The following is a 15,747-nucleotide window of genomic DNA, read 5'->3' as shown; positions in this document are numbered from 1 at the left end:
GAAGTGTTTGTGATCTATAGGACATATTCTTTTTAATTTTATTTTTTAAAATTTTTATTTCAATGGTTTTTGGGTTTTGTTGTTACATGGATAAACATGAATGGTTTTTTGTTACATGGATGAATTATATAGTGTTGAATTTGAGATTTTAGTGCACTCATTACCTGAGTAGTGTACACTGTACCTAATAAGTTGTAGTTTTTTATCCCTAGCTTCCTCTCACCCTCCCCCTTCTGGGTCTCTAAAGTTCGGTATATCACTCTGTATGCCTTTGTGTACTTACAGCTTACCTCCCACTTTTAAGTAAGAACATATAGTTTTTGGTTTTCCACTCCTGAGTTACTTCACTTAGAATAATGGTCTCTAGATCCATCCAAATTGCTGCAAAAGACGTTATCATGTTCCTTTTTTATCACTGAGTAGTATTCCATGGTGTATATATACCAGACATTTTCTTTATCTACTTATTAGTCAATGGTCACTTAAGTTGGTTCCATATCTTTGCAATTGTGAATTGTGCTGCAATAAACATACATGTGCATGTATATTTTTCATATAATGACTTATTTTCCTCTAAGTAGATACCCAGTAGTAGTATTGCTGGGTTGAATGGTAGTTCTACTATTAGTTCTTTAAGGAATCTCCAAACTCTTTTCTGTAGAGGTTGTACTAATTTACATTCCCACCAGCGATGTATAAGTGGCCCCTTTTCCCTACATCCACGCCATCTCATCTATTGTTTTTTGACTTTTGATAATGGCCATTCTTGCAGGAGAAAGGTGGTATCTCATTGTGGTTTTAATTTGTAGTTCCTATAGGACATGTTCTTTACAGTCTTAGACCACCTAAGGTTGTGCCCTTGGAAGACTTAAAAAAGGAAAAACAGATTCTGAGGCCTAAGGACTACAGACCTTTGACTGTTGAGGTCTCTATAAAAATCTTGTGATTCCGTAAGCCCCAGGAATATCTTGAGCTCAGTATTTTATATGTTATTTCACTCATTTTAGATATTTTCCCTGATGTATGTGTATTTTATGCATGTATGTGTAGATAGACATTGCTGTACCCCAAGGTTAGAAAGTAGCCTGCAGAGGTTGAGGTCTAAAGTGGGTCATTTTTCTAGCATTCTGCTTTTCCATGGTTTCCAGAGACGTGTCCCAGCTTAGCTGATGTGTCCTACCTATTAAAATCTCCTTGAGACCTGCCTACAGAGATGCTACAAGCCATGCACACACCAGGCCAAGGGATTGTGCAAACTACAGCCCCACAGGCCAAATCTGGCTCACTGCCTGTTTCTGTAAATAAAGTTTTATTGGAAACACATCTACGTTTCACATTGTGCTATGTACAATGTGTACTGTGTACAAAGGTACTTATACAGTACTATGGCAGAGTTGAATCGTTGTGGCAGAGACAGTATGGCCCACAAAGGTGAAAATATTTATTGTCTAGCATGGGGTTGGCAGACTGTTTCTGTAAAGGATAAATGTTTTCAACTCTGTGGGCAAAACAGTCTCTTTCACAGATATTTAATTCTGCCATTGTGCTGTGAAAGCAAGTATAGAAAAAGTTTGCCAATCCCAGTGCTAGACAATCTCTCTGACTTTCTCCCTGAGGGAAGTTGTGCAGCTATTTTTTTCATTCAACCAACATTTATTGAAAGCCCATTATGTACTAGGCAAAGTGTAATTCTGAAACCACCTTGGCACATATGATTTGGCAGATATTGTTAAATACCTGAACCCTAGACTCCTTTCTCTACACCCTAATGAGGGAACCACAATTTACTGCCCCCACATGAGTGTGCTGCACGATAATCCAGTCCCCTCAGGCTGAGGAATGTGTTTTTCTGGGCTGTAACTAAATCTTCCAGCCTGCTGGCTCCCTGCCCGTGGCTTTTTAACCAGGTGCTGAGATTTGGGACAAGAGTGCAGAAACCAATCATCCATAAATATCACCCCTTTTTGATCACAGGGAATGAAGTCACTGGTACATTTAAGAACCGATTTCCAGTTTACTGTTTGTTTGCAAAGTTTTTGTTACCATGGTTAAAAATACCCAAATTGTTACTTCATTTTGGATGATAAATTGCTGAGGGGTGAACTATGTAAATCCAGAGATTTTTGTAGGACTCTTTTATGGCAGTTGGGGGCTCATTCTGAGGCTCAAGTCTTGATGCTTACAGAGCTGACTCTGCCCTTTAGAAGATGTGTTGGTTAATCCTGCCTGAGGGAAAAAGAAGTCAGGTCACAGCTTGGGCCAGACTGTCTAATTGGGTGCCAATTCCTGAGAATTTGTTCTTTACAGTATCTCTTACTGATTTTCTCCTTTCTCTTACTGATTTTCTCCTTTCTCTTACTGATTTTCTCCTTTCTCTTCCCATTCCCTCTCTGCTACCTTTGACCTTCATTTGCTCTCCTCTGACTCAAGGCAAGAGATGTTCACTAGTCTCTCCAGTTCTGGCCCGGGTGAAATGCCTCAACAGCAGCTAGGTGCAGGAGAGCAAGTCCAGAATAAGAGCTCAGTCTCCTGCCCCCAGATCTTTCCACCGAGCCACACAGCTGCCTTTTGCATGGCCCTTCCCAATGCTTTCAGGCACCACTGGCTTCTATCCATTTCTAAAGGCTGGAGAAAGTCCAGTTTTGCAGCTGCTTCTCTATTTGATTTGGGAACTTATGTCTAAGGATCATAAGAATATGATGCCTCTGTCTCCACCTACATAGAAAATGGCTCATTTCTTCCAGTTTCTCCCTGGATAAAAAAAAAAGAGGGCAAGGGAATTTGTATCTTTGGTCTTACGTATAATGTAACTCTGCAAAATTTGGATTCTCTTCAGAGCTCCTAGATTTCTAACCTACCAGCCCCTGTGACTTGGTGGACTTGCATATGCCTGGTCAGTGACTGCTGGCAGCCTTGGACTACCTTCTGAGTCCCACACACCCGTGGCATGGCTGGATAACACATGCTTGCCAGCTATGGCCATTTAGCCCTCACACAGTGGTGGCAGCTCAAGCCACCCAAGAGACAGAGTAGAGGGCTCTGGGAATGTATTCACTCAGAGTTACTATGAGGAATAGCAGGAAGAAAATGATCAGATGACAGTAAGTACTCTGTTCTTTGCATCTTAGTGCTGAAGAGATAGGCTTTGGATCCTGGCATATGTAGGCCTGAATCCCACTGCTTCCTAGCTGTGAGACCTTGGGCAAATTGCTTAATCTCCCCTTGCCTTGGATTTTCTCATCTGTGGGATGTGGATTATATTCCACACACAGACGGTTGTAAGGATTAAGTCAAGTCATGAATATGTAAGGCACTTGCACAGTATTGGATCAAGATACTTTGTTTTTCAAGGGCAGGAAGATTTGGAAAAGGGCTGTAAAGAAGGGTCTACTCAAGACAGCCTACTAGCCTTCTAGGGTATATAAAACTTTGTGTTACCCTGGAGAAATCGTGGTAAACCAAACCTCGGCAAGCCAAGTTACCCCAGTGACCCCCATGCAGGTATTCTTCAATTCCCTATGCTGTTCACAGAGTAACCACTCAAATGAGCCATTTCCCTTCCCCACTACCCCTGACAGTGAGACACAGGAGGAAGACTAATGAACCATTTGCCTGTGGCCTGCCTATGAGATTAGTCACAAAAGTCATTGCCCCCAGAAACATTTTTTTCCTATCACAAATAAGTTTAATTCATGATTCCATATGTAATTTTCTCCATGATTTTATGTATTTTATCTCTTACTCAAGCAGCAGAGGATGTGGGATTGCAATATTAGGTTCATCCCCTGAATGTCATAAATTAATGTGAAAATGTCATCATATTTTTGGGAGGCAAAGCTTCTGTTGTATATTTAATATATCTGCCCACACATTAAATGAGATCAAGTATATAATGTCCCCAAACAGTTTCTGGAACACAGTGAGTCCTCAAAACAGGGTTGTTGTCATTGTTAATGTACTAACTAGTATATTAATGTAAATATTTCATTCCTATTCTTAATATGTAAATTACAGTCAGGTCCTCAAAGTAGTATGAATTCTTTTTTAGGACAGGTCATTATTTCTGAAGTGATTTTTATTGTTTAAATTCTAAAAATGTCTGTTTCTATTCTTTTATAATGAAGACTGTCACCCAAACCAAGGAAGATTATTTTATAATATCAAAGAATAATTTTTAAAATACGACAAAAACCTAATTAGTTCCCTTTGGGATTGCTACCCAAAGTCCAAGCCTGAGTATTTAGGCAAATGGCTAGTAATAACCACAAGATTATTGAGGGGCTTAGGAGACAAAATATCACACAAAGTAATTTTCAAATCAGTTTCTTTCAAACAGTAATTTTGAGTTAGAGGCCTGCCCAGGGCTAATTTACAAATCCCAAAAGATCATTTGTGGTCTCAATAGCCTCATAGCCAATGCCACTCCAGGAATAATTTTAAAGTCAATTCATTAAGTATAAACCCAAACACATTGGAATTCTAAGGTGTATGTGTGTGGGTTTTTTTTAATGGGCATAGAGGGATTGGAAGAAAAAAATTTTTTTTGAATTACAAAATGTACTGATGAATATTGGCAAAAGGTGGCCAGTTACCATAAATGAAATCCCACCTGGTGAGGCAATACCACCCAGTAAGGCAGTGCAGGATGAGTTTCATGAAAGATTTGGACAAAACCACAATTTACCATGAAATGCTAATTCTACAGAGAAAACATCACAACTAGTGAATGTAGGGTTTTTATTTTTTTCTATAGCCAGATAGTAGAAGCCCGTAAAATGTCTTGGCATAAAAACACCAATGCTCCTGCTCTGCAAAGAATGTACGTTATTACTGGCAACTCTACCAAGTTTCCATGGAACATTTTTGCTATATGTTTATTCCCTTTCATTATCTCTGCTCATAGGGGTCAAGCAAGCACCCAGGCCATCAGGTGCTGATAGAAATGTATCAGTGGACTCTACCCACCCCACTAAAAAGCCAGGTAAGTAATAACATGCTGACTTTTATGACAGCTCAGCTCTGAAACTTGGATGGTAACTGCAGTATCATTCCTGGTGGCAAAAACAGCAACATCCACACAGCCCCCGAAGTATCAGAACCACACACACAGTGCATGGGTATTGCTAGGAAAACATTTGGAATATTATCTTTGGAGGAATTAAAAGTGCTCTGTGCACAAATTAAGTATTAATAGGAACTTCTGATGTGATACTAACTTAATCATTACTTGCTATAATGTTCTGAGGGACCATAATGGACAAATGCTGCAGAATCACTGTGGTTTCTAGTTTTTATCATGTTTTAAGTTCTGCTCTTGTGTAATTTATTACAATTTTTTTTTGCCTGATATTACTTATGTTCCTGATTTAAGAGTATGATCTATGTAATAGGCCAAAAGTATGAATCTGGTGACTCAGAATACCTTTGGATTGAATAAAGACTTTTATTAATGTCAACTACCAGTACACTCCTGAACACATAGAGAGAGAGAGAGAGAGAGAGAGAGAGTCTTTCTCTTACTAGTATACCAGGCATTTTCCTGGATTAACAATTTTTCTTGAAGATTTTAAAACCAACATATGTTATGCCAAAAAAAGATATAAATTGTTTAACTATAGCACAAGACTTAAAATGTGGGTTAAAGCAGACTTCTCCAAGCACCTTTGACCTCACCAACCTTTCTGCAAATTATAAAAAGGTGCCTGTTTACCCCACCCTTTAGGCAGACAATGAGAAAAACAAAGCCCTTCCTCTTGTCTGGTGCCTTGCATGAGAGCTCATAAGTGGATGAGCAGAGCAGGTGCTAAGCTTTGTCCCCCACTTACACCTCCTGGGCCAAGTGTCTTTGTGTGGTACACAACTACCACAACTGTTCACAGTGAGCCTGCTCCCTACAGATACAGACTTGTTTCAGCTATCAGGGTTACCTCGATGTAGTCTTTGAGAAGTTCTAAAGGGTTTTAATTATAATTACATAATAGAGCTGAGAATGGATCAAAACACCCACAAAAGGAGAAATTTTATGCTTTAACAATTTAAAACTAAAATGGTATAAGAAATTGTAGGCTCAAAATAAAAGGCAGCTGGGGATAATGAAGTTCAGAAGTGCTTCTGTTAAGTCTACATGGAAAATGAAAGATGTTAAATTCTATGCGTGTTTATAGCCTTTCAAAAAGTAGATATACCTGTGTACAGTCATCTCTTGGTATCTATGGGGGATTGGTCCCAGGATTTTCCTCAGATACTAAAATCTGAGGATGCTCAAATCCCTTATATAAAATCATATAGTGTTTGCATATAACCCATGCACATCTTCCCATATACTTAAATCTTCCATTATAATACCTAATGCAATATAAATAATTGTTACATTTTGTGTTTTGCTGTTGTTGTATTGTTATTTTTATTGTGGTTTTTAAAAAAATTTTCCATCCACAGTTGTTTGAATTAACTGATGGGGAACCCACAGATATGAAGGGCCCGACTGTATATTCATCTATAATGAGGACATGTTTTCTATATACTACAGTGCGTTGTTGTCCCTGGGGACATTACCAACATTTATTTATAGGAATATCTGAATATATTTGTGTGCACTTTTCTGTAGAATCTATTCTCTGTCATCCAACTGCTAATTATCAAACATTATTTTTTATTTTTAAAAACCCTGTTTTTTTCGATAATGAATCTTTATGATGGCTTTATCTAAAATACAATCTCTTATCCACAATCCCAGGGACTCGCCGCCCACCCTTGCCACCCAGACCTACACACCCACGAAGAAAACCTTTACCACCAAATAATGTCACTGGAAAGCCAGGAAGTGCAGGTACGTTAGTCATGTACCTTCCTTTTCCCGCCATGATTTCGGTTTTACTAGCCAACATAAGCTCTTCTTGGCGTGCTAGCAACAGGCACACTATTGATGTGTGTGACACGTTTGTGTTGGCCCTGAAGACTAGACACTGTAAATGATGGCTTTCAGGACTTACAACCTGATTCTTGGACTGAAAGAAGGAAACCATGCCTCTGCATCTAGGCAAGTTTGCTTCTTAGATGTCTGAGTGCTTGGAGCCTAGATTGAAGCTGACTCAGACCCTTCAACAAATGGATTATTTTGGACAAGATGCTGTACATTGCCAAGGCCCCAGGAATAATAGATGTGATGACTTGTCATTGACTTATCATTCTGTCTCCTGAAATAAAATTCTATATGTCCCACTGAAAGCTCTCCTATCCAACAGCCTTCATGCCAGGCCTGGTATTATGGTGCTCAGGGGAAGATCTGGGACTAAAATATTCAGGGTGACGGAAAGGCCTAGCCTGTGCAACAGTACAGGAGTATGTTTTGGAGGCAAGCTGCCTCTTACCTCCATGCCTGGGCACACACATTCCTCCTCCCTATAGAATGACCCTTTCCAGGCTTGGCTTGGGATACTCAGACTTCATCCTTTTCTTTAAAAACCTCCCCTGACTCCTCAAGGTAGTCTTGGCACTGCTTCTCTGTTCTTGTCCTTGACATACCCCTCTGTTAGAGCAAAGAGAAAATTGTGTCAGACCTGTTTGTTTGCATACTTTTCTTCCCCAATAGACTGTGAGCTCTGTGATGACAAAGTCCTTGGTTTTTTTTCTCTGAATTCCCAGAACCAAATCCAGTGCTTAGCACTTAGAGGATATTTGATGAGTAATAACAAAGTGAATAAAGGAATGAAATTGAGTCAGTAAAATTGACCTAGTTCAGACAGAAGCTTTACCTCATACTGAGGGTTCTTCACCCAGGACATGCCAGCAAATTTCAGCATGTTCCCCATCTTTCCTCCCTCTCTCCAGAACACTACTTCCGAAATATTTTGTAGGTGGAATCGGGATAAGAGTGTTAAAACAGCTGTGAAAGATGAAACTGATGAGGATCGCCATGAAAGGGAGTGGATGTCACTGTTCTCACAGGATGAAAGGAGGCTGTTGTGATGGAGCTTGTAGGACGTCCCATGTGCACAGTGAACTCTAGGTCATTTTCCCATGGGCTGAAGGAGGAAGCAGCCTCCCATCCATACCTCTGGTGCCTTTCTGAGTCAAGGCCCAGTGACATGGCCTTGCTAGGAGACCGGGTTTCCCCATTTACTGTAACCTGGGGCAGCTGTGACTTGAGCTCCAGCAGCTTGCAGATCAGACTGGATGAGCCACAGGGTGATGCCTGAGTGTGCCACTTGGGGGCCCCCTCCAGAGCAATGCTGTGAGGCTGTGTGCCTTAAGGAGCTGTTTGATGGCCTTCTTGCCTGCCATATAAACCCTTGTTCTCTCCTGTCAGTAAACATAGCTTTGGTACAGCCCACCCAGCCTGAAGAAGAACTGTAAATACATTCCACTTCTGAGATGAACCCTAGTCCCTGCTCTCCACCCTCACCCTCCACCATTCACCTCTAACTCAAGGGAAATGGCTGCACTGAGGAGCCAAACCATAATTGAGGGCACTGGTACAGATTTGGCCTGATTAGCATCACAGAAAGTGTATCTTGAATTCCAGTCCAATGTCCTGGAGTCCTCTGAGGCTCTCTCACATGTGTCTGTGAACACAGTCTGGGGCTGCCACCATGTGACATGTGCCACTTGCCCTCAATCTCCAGATCCACCCAGGCTTCTGAGTCCCACTCTCCTCACCAGAATGAAAATGCTATGCTATGCCAGCATTTCCTGTTGTCTCTGTCAACTCTGGAAAGCCCTTGTGGACTGCAGTGCAACTTCTCTTGGGTTTTGCTTGACCTCTTATTGTGGCTCATACTCACTAGGGTCAGGAACATGCATCCCTGGAGGCCAGGTCAGAGGCCCTTCTGACTACTCAGCCCTGATTCCATGCTGGGTCATAGTCCTTGGGTCAGGCTTGTATCCCTTGACTCTCTATTGCCCAAAAGTGACTCCTTCTCCCCGGTGGAACATAAAATTCAATCTAGTCTCCTTTCGACTCCAAACACCCAGACTTGCCTGGACCTTGGGATGGATCCAGTTTTAGGGACTTATAAGTGTTTTAAGAGTGGAGGAGTCACTGTTGAATATAGCAATCAGGGTAGCACTATACTGGCCACCAGGCCAGAATCATGGACATTAACCCTAGGAATCTTTTTCCTTCTTCTGTAGCCATCTTCCATGCCTGCCACTGAGTCTCCTGACAGCTCTCATGTCCACCCCTTACATCCTGTCCCACTGCCTTTGCTGTAGTACACCTTCCTTTCTCTTGCCTACACAAGTGACTCAGTCCCTAAAAATAACATCCAAATCCATGGTATTCAACTTCTTTCATGATCTGCCCTTCCTTGCCCTTCCACTCTCAGCTCTTATTGTACCCCTTCAAGTTAAACACACCAGGCTGTTGCATGCTTCCCTGACATGTTTCTTGTTATAACCTCTGTCTATAATACTGCTCTTGTCTCTACCTACCAATAACTTCTCCTCTATTGGCACATCCTCTGTGAAGGCATTTCTCTGCCCACTCCAAACCGACAACCCTCCATCTTTCCTCACAGACATAACCACTCCCTCTTCTTACGCGCCCCCTCTGTGATGTTATCTAGTACTTTTTCACAATGTCTATAATAATGCTCTGATATACTTGGCTCATACATCTATCTCCACCAAGAATCAGGTCTTGTTTTCTCTCCAAGCCTGGTCTATAGTGCCAAGCCACATGGTCAGTGCTTAAAAACATTTATGGAATAAATAAATGTTTATAGGAAACTTGGCAGTGTTCCTATAAAGCCTGACTACTTTGGCTCTACTTTACAGGAATCATTTCATCAGGCCCAATAACTACACCACCCCTGAGGTCAACACCCAGGCCTACTGGAACTCCCTTGGAGAGAATAGAGACAGATATAAAGCAACCAACAGTTCCTGCCTCTGGAGAAGAACTGGGTTCGTATGGCCATCAGTTCTCACTGGATACTTAGCTGTGAGGTGCAAAAGATTTTAAATGTTGGTGGGGATGGGTGAGTCTCAGTTTGAGGTCTTCTATTTTACTCCATTTTATGATTAATATGGTTGTTTTTAATTTTAAAATAATACTTATTTTCAACACTCCCTTATAGAGTATTATCCTTCCCTTAGCAGACATAGAAGAAACTGCGTAACTTTGGTTCATAAAAAGATCTAGACTACCTAATGCTACTACTAAATCACATTATTACCAACTACACATATCTTAAGTTATTAGTGCATATTAACCACTTGGTTATAATTTGTAATTCATTACTCACACTATAGAACACCTTGCAGCAGGACACAACTAATGGCCTTATATTGTGGATGAATATGTATAATTTTAAAAAATCAAAACTGCAAGCAGTTTACAAGAAGAAATATTGAATATCTTTAGTCTACAACTTTTTCATTGTATTGTGAAGCTTTTTTATCTTTTGCCAAAACTGTTCATTATTTTCCATTCTCAGAAAATATAACTGACTTTAGCTCAAGCCCAACAAGAGAAACTGATCCTCTTGGGAAGCCAAGATTCAAAGGTATGTATGACTGGCTGTGAATCTCACATTTGAAAAGGCCATTTTTGGTAGGTGTATCAGCCAGTTATTGCTGTGTAAAAAACCACAAATCTTAGTAGCCTATTATAATAATAAGGTTTTATTTTTCATGGGTGTCTGCAAGTCAACTGGGTGTCAGCTGATCTAGGATATGTTTAGCTTAGTGGTTCTGCTTCTAGCAGCAGGTACAGCTAGGCCTCTTGTGGGTTGGACTCAGGTCCACCCCACATGTGTTTACTCTGATTCCCAGGATGAACAACCAACAGTGACCCAGGGGAAGCCATTTTCGTAATAATGCAAAATCAAGAAAGGGGGTGTCCAAATGCAAAACCACATTTAAAGCTCCTTTTTGTGTCATATCTACCAATGTCCATTGGCCAAAAAATGTCACACAGCCAAGATCAAATCAAGGATTGGGGAAGAATACTTCTCCTGTGGACATAAAGAATAGTTTTGAACAACAATCTACCACAGTAGGAGAGATACAATATGACATAGAGCCCTTTTTTTTCTGAAATGTAACATTTGATGAATTTTAATATATGTATACACCCATGAGACCATCATCACAATCAAGATAATAACCCATATATAACTTCCAAAAGTTTCATCATGTGTCTTTGCAATCCCTTTCTCTTATTCCTCCCACTCAACCCCCCAGTGCCTACGTGGCAACAGGCCTGCCATACTATAGTATGTACTTTATGAAATTTTATATAAATGAAAACATACAGTATGAACTCTTTTTGTTGTCAGGCTTCTTTTATCAGCATAAATATTTGGAGATTTCTCTATGTTGCTGCATGTATATCAGTAGTCCATTCCTTTTTATTGCTGACTAGCATGCTATTATTTGGATATTCAATAATTTGTTTCTTTAGTAAATGCATTCGTGGCATTGGTATTTCTTTTACATTACTGATAAAGCTATTATGACCATTCATGTACATGTCTTTGTATAGCCATATGCTTTCATTCCTTTGGACAAATACCTAGGAAGGGGTGGCTACATGACATATAAGTGTTTATATAACATTTTAAAAGACTGTTTTCCAAAGTAGTTGTACTGTTTTACCTTTCTATCAGCAGAGATGAGAGTTCTAGTTCCTCCAAATCCTCACCAACATTTGTTATGGTCAGTCTTTTTTATTTTAGCCATTTTAATAGGTGTGTAATGGTATCTGATTATGGTTTTAATTTGCAACCACTTAATAACATTGAACATCTTATGTGCTTATTTGCCATCTATATATCTTTTTTGCTATTTCCAATATTTTTGCCCATTTTAAAAAATGGAGTTGCTTGTTTAATGTTGAATTTTGAGAATCTATATTTTCTGGATACAAGACCATTTTTAGATACATACTTTGAAAATATTTTTTCCCAGTGTGTGTCTTCTAATTTTAATGAAGCTCGGTGTATCAATTTTTAGTAGAATTCACTTTCTTTAATAGGTATGGAGCTATTCAGAATAGTTTTTCTTTTTCTTTTCTTTTTTTTTTTTTTTTTGAGATGGACTCTCGCTCTGTTGCCCAGGCTGAAGTGCAGTGGTGTGATCTCATCTCACTGCAACCTCCGCTTCCTGGGTTCAAGTGATTTTCCTGCCTCAGCCTCCCCAAGCAGCTGAGATTACAGGTGCCCGTCACCATCCCCATAGTTTTTGTATTTTTAGTAGAGATGTGGTTTCACCATGTTGGCCAGGCTGATCTCAAACTCCCGACTGCCAGTGATCCACCCATCTCGGCCTCCCAAAGTGCTGGGATTATAGGCATGAGCCACCACGCCCAGCCTGCATTTTATTTTGGGTGTGTAGAACCTTACATTTAATATGGCTATTGATATTGGTACATTTAAATCTTCATCTTGCTATTTGCTTTCTATTTTTCCCATCTATTCTTTGTTCCCTTTTTTCCTCTTTGTCAATCTTCTTTTAGGTTGAGTATGTTACGATTTCATTTAATCTTTTTTGTTGTCTTATTAACTGTAATTTTGTTTTATTATTTTCATGGTTGCTTTGGGGTTTATAGTATGTATCTTTAATTTATCACAATCTGCCGTCTAGTGATAATCTACAACTTCACATATAAGAACCTCACACTAGCATAGCTTTACTCCCCTCTTGGCCTTTGGACTATTATTGTCATACATTTTACTTTTACATGTTATATACATTACCGTAAGGTGTTTTTATTTATGTTTAAACAGTAAACTATTTTTTAGAGATAAATAATAAGAAAAACATTGTGTATGTTACCTATGTGTTTACTGTCACTGCGCTTTTCATCACTTTGTGTGGCTCCATATTTCTGTCGGCATTGTTTCCTTCCTACCTGAAAGACTTCCTTTAATATTTCTTTTAGTGTGGGCCTTCTGGCAAATAAATTCTTACAGATTTTGTATGTCTAGAAAAAGTGTTTTGCTTTTAAGGTATTTTCACTACTTATTAAATTCTAAATGATGTCTTTTATTTCAATAATTGAAGATGCTGTTTCAATGCCTCTCACTTGCATTCTTTCTAGTAAGAAATCTGCCACAATCCTTATCTTTGTTGTTCTGTATACAACATGTCTTTTTTTGGTCTGCCTCCTTTAAGGATTTTCTCTTTATCACTTGTTTTGAGAAACTTGATTATGACTGGCATATAGTTTTCTACATTTTTGTTGTTTCTAGGTATCTTTGAGCTTTTTGGATCTATGGGTTTAGAAGTTTTATCATATTTGGAAGATTTGGGACCATTATTTCTTAAAATATTTTTTTCTGCTCACCCGCTTCTTTACCTCAGGTACTCCAATTACATGTATATGAGACCACCAGAAATGGTCCACACAGCTCAGTGATGTTCATTATTTTTAATGTTTATCTTCTCTCCCTCTTTTTGGATGTTTTTATTGCTATGTCTTTGAGTTCACTAATCATTTATTCTGTATTATCTTATAGGTATTAATTCTAACCAGTGCATCTTCTGTCTTATAGCTTTCATCTCTAGAAATTTGATTTGGGTCTTTTTTAATATCATACATGTCTTTACTAACTTTTTGAATATGTGGATTATAGTAATAAGTATAATTCTTATCTGATTATTCTAACATCTATGTGAGATCTACATTGGTTTCAAATGATTGATTTTTTTCTCCTTATTATAGGTAATATTTTCCTATGAATTTTACCTTTTAGGTGCTGGATTTTTTTTTTAATTATTCCTAGATTATTCTTGAGTTTTGTTCTGGGATACAGTAAAATACTTGAAGCTACTTGATTCTTTTGAGTCTAGTTTTTAAAATTTATTGAGTGGGACCAGAACTGTGTTTAGTATAGAGCTAATTATTCCCTACCACTGAGGGTAAGACCCAGTGCCCCATAAAGTATGAAGTTTAAACTATGCTTAGGGGGATCAAATTACTTTCGGATATTAGCATAAGCTAAACTTATTCAGTAAGTAAATCAACACCACCCTATATCACGTATCTCAGAGGCAAGATTTTGAATTTTCCTAGTTTGAACCATCCACATCATGGCTTTCAACCATCCGCTTATAATATGAGACCAAATGTCCTCAAATTATATTTATGAGCTCACTTCTATCTTCTTCATGAGTTTCAAAAATGTTAAATGTCAAGGGTCCTCTCTCTCGTAGGACCTCATGTGCGATACATCCAAAAGCCTGACAACAGTCCCTGCTCCATTACTGACTCTGTCAAACGGTTCCCCAAAGAGGAGGCCACAGAGGGGAATGCCACCAGCCCACCACAGAACCCACCCACCAACCTCACTGTGGTCACCGTGGAAGGGTGCCCCTCATTTGTCATCTTGGACTGGGAAAAGCCACTAAATGACACTGTCACTGGTAAGATCATGGCATGAGGACTGTTATGGTGGGAAGCTTTGATAACAAGATACCCTGGGAGTGGGGTACCCTGGGTCAACGTTGACATGTGAAGCATACCTGGGGAGGAGACAAAACTAGCAGTTTTGCTGCCTTTAAGGCACATTATTGTCAACAATGTCATAGGATGAGAAAAGATCATCTTTGTCCTTGTTATGGTCTCCCTGTTAATTTAGTAAATCTCCTCAAGCTGCATTCTTTCCATCTCCTCTCAGAACTCTTTTTCACACAATGAAGAAGAAGCTAGTCTTTCATTATCCAGAAAATTACATTGCTGATTAATTTAAAACTAATTTTCCTTTCACCAACCCCATTTCTTATTGACCTAGAACTTTCTAGCAGACTAAAGGTTACTTCAACTGTCTTAGGATAAATAAAAACAAAAATTCTATTCCTGATCAATTTTCTTCTCATCTTAAGAAATTTTTATTCTGTTACCACCCACCAATTCCTCTAAAAATGATTGTAAAAACTAAGAAACCCCAAGACACTCTGAATTTGTTATACAACAGTCTGATTCTCCATAACGAAGAGGATAGTCAAACGAGAGGAGGATGAAAAAAGACTAGCAAGCTAAATCAGCTAGAGGATATAGCAAATAGCATGGTAAGTGAATTCCTGCCACCCAAGTTCCTGCCATGTACCTGGTGCAGGCAGGCAGGGAATAGAGGGGTCAACTAAGAGGCCATCAGGAAGGGAGAGGAGCAGTGCACAGGACCAGGTAGCGCATGCAGGGACTCAGGATCTGCCAAAAACATTTCCTACTGCACATGGAAAACAGCAGCTATGTCTCCTCAGACAGAACCATTGGATCTGGGCAACTTCCAGTGTAAGCGGCTTATCTTAACTAGCTTTCTTTACCACGTTTTGTGAGTTTCCCTTTCTCATGCAAAGCTAGCCTTTGTTTTGAGAAAGAACCCACTGCTACCCATGGTTCCTGGAGATTTTCCTAGTCCTGCTTCTTTCCTTGGGACTGTGCTAATAGGTACTACAAATATCTAAAAATCAATTAATCTCTCAGTACTGATTATCTACATCCATTAAAATGTCTAAAACTCTTCATATACTGTGCTAGTAAGGAGTTCCTGTGATCATCTGAGGCTTAGTTCTCATGAAACTAAATGATCTATAAAATTTCATTTGCCTTAAAGATACGGAACATTGAGTTGGAACTGGTTAATCTAATACATTTAATTATCGAATACACATCAACTTGGATATATTCATAATATCCGATGTAACTTTATTAAGCTGAAGAATTGGCCTTTCTGATTGTATATATGTTTAATCTCAAAAAATCATGGATAGAGTATACTTTATCCATCTAACCAAACTGCT

The 15,747-nt window shown here is 39.2% G+C and overlaps 1 protein-coding gene across 56 annotated transcripts in view; it reads left to right on the top strand.

Moving 5' to 3' along the window:
* The window catches only part of ABI3BP (ABI family member 3 binding protein), a 244,266-nt gene that overhangs the window by 208,309 nt on the left and 20,210 nt on the right, over positions 1-15,747 (top strand). For all 56 annotated transcript variants that reach the window (XM_006713572.4, NM_001377332.1, XM_047447926.1 and 53 more), the window contains 5 exons: positions 4,904-4,981; positions 6,737-6,829; positions 9,778-9,906; positions 10,440-10,508; positions 14,161-14,370. In XM_006713572.4, coding sequence (XP_006713635.1) covers positions 4,904-4,981; positions 6,737-6,829; positions 9,778-9,906; positions 10,440-10,508; positions 14,161-14,370 — 579 coding nt within the window. The remainder of the gene's footprint in view (positions 1-4,903; positions 4,982-6,736; positions 6,830-9,777; positions 9,907-10,439; positions 10,509-14,160; positions 14,371-15,747) is intronic.

This window comes from Homo sapiens, chromosome 3 (assembly GCF_000001405.40).
Source record: "Homo sapiens chromosome 3, GRCh38.p14 Primary Assembly".
Classification (NCBI taxonomy): domain Eukaryota; kingdom Metazoa; phylum Chordata; class Mammalia; order Primates; family Hominidae; genus Homo; species Homo sapiens.
This window is presented reverse-complemented; position numbering and strand designations above follow the sequence as displayed.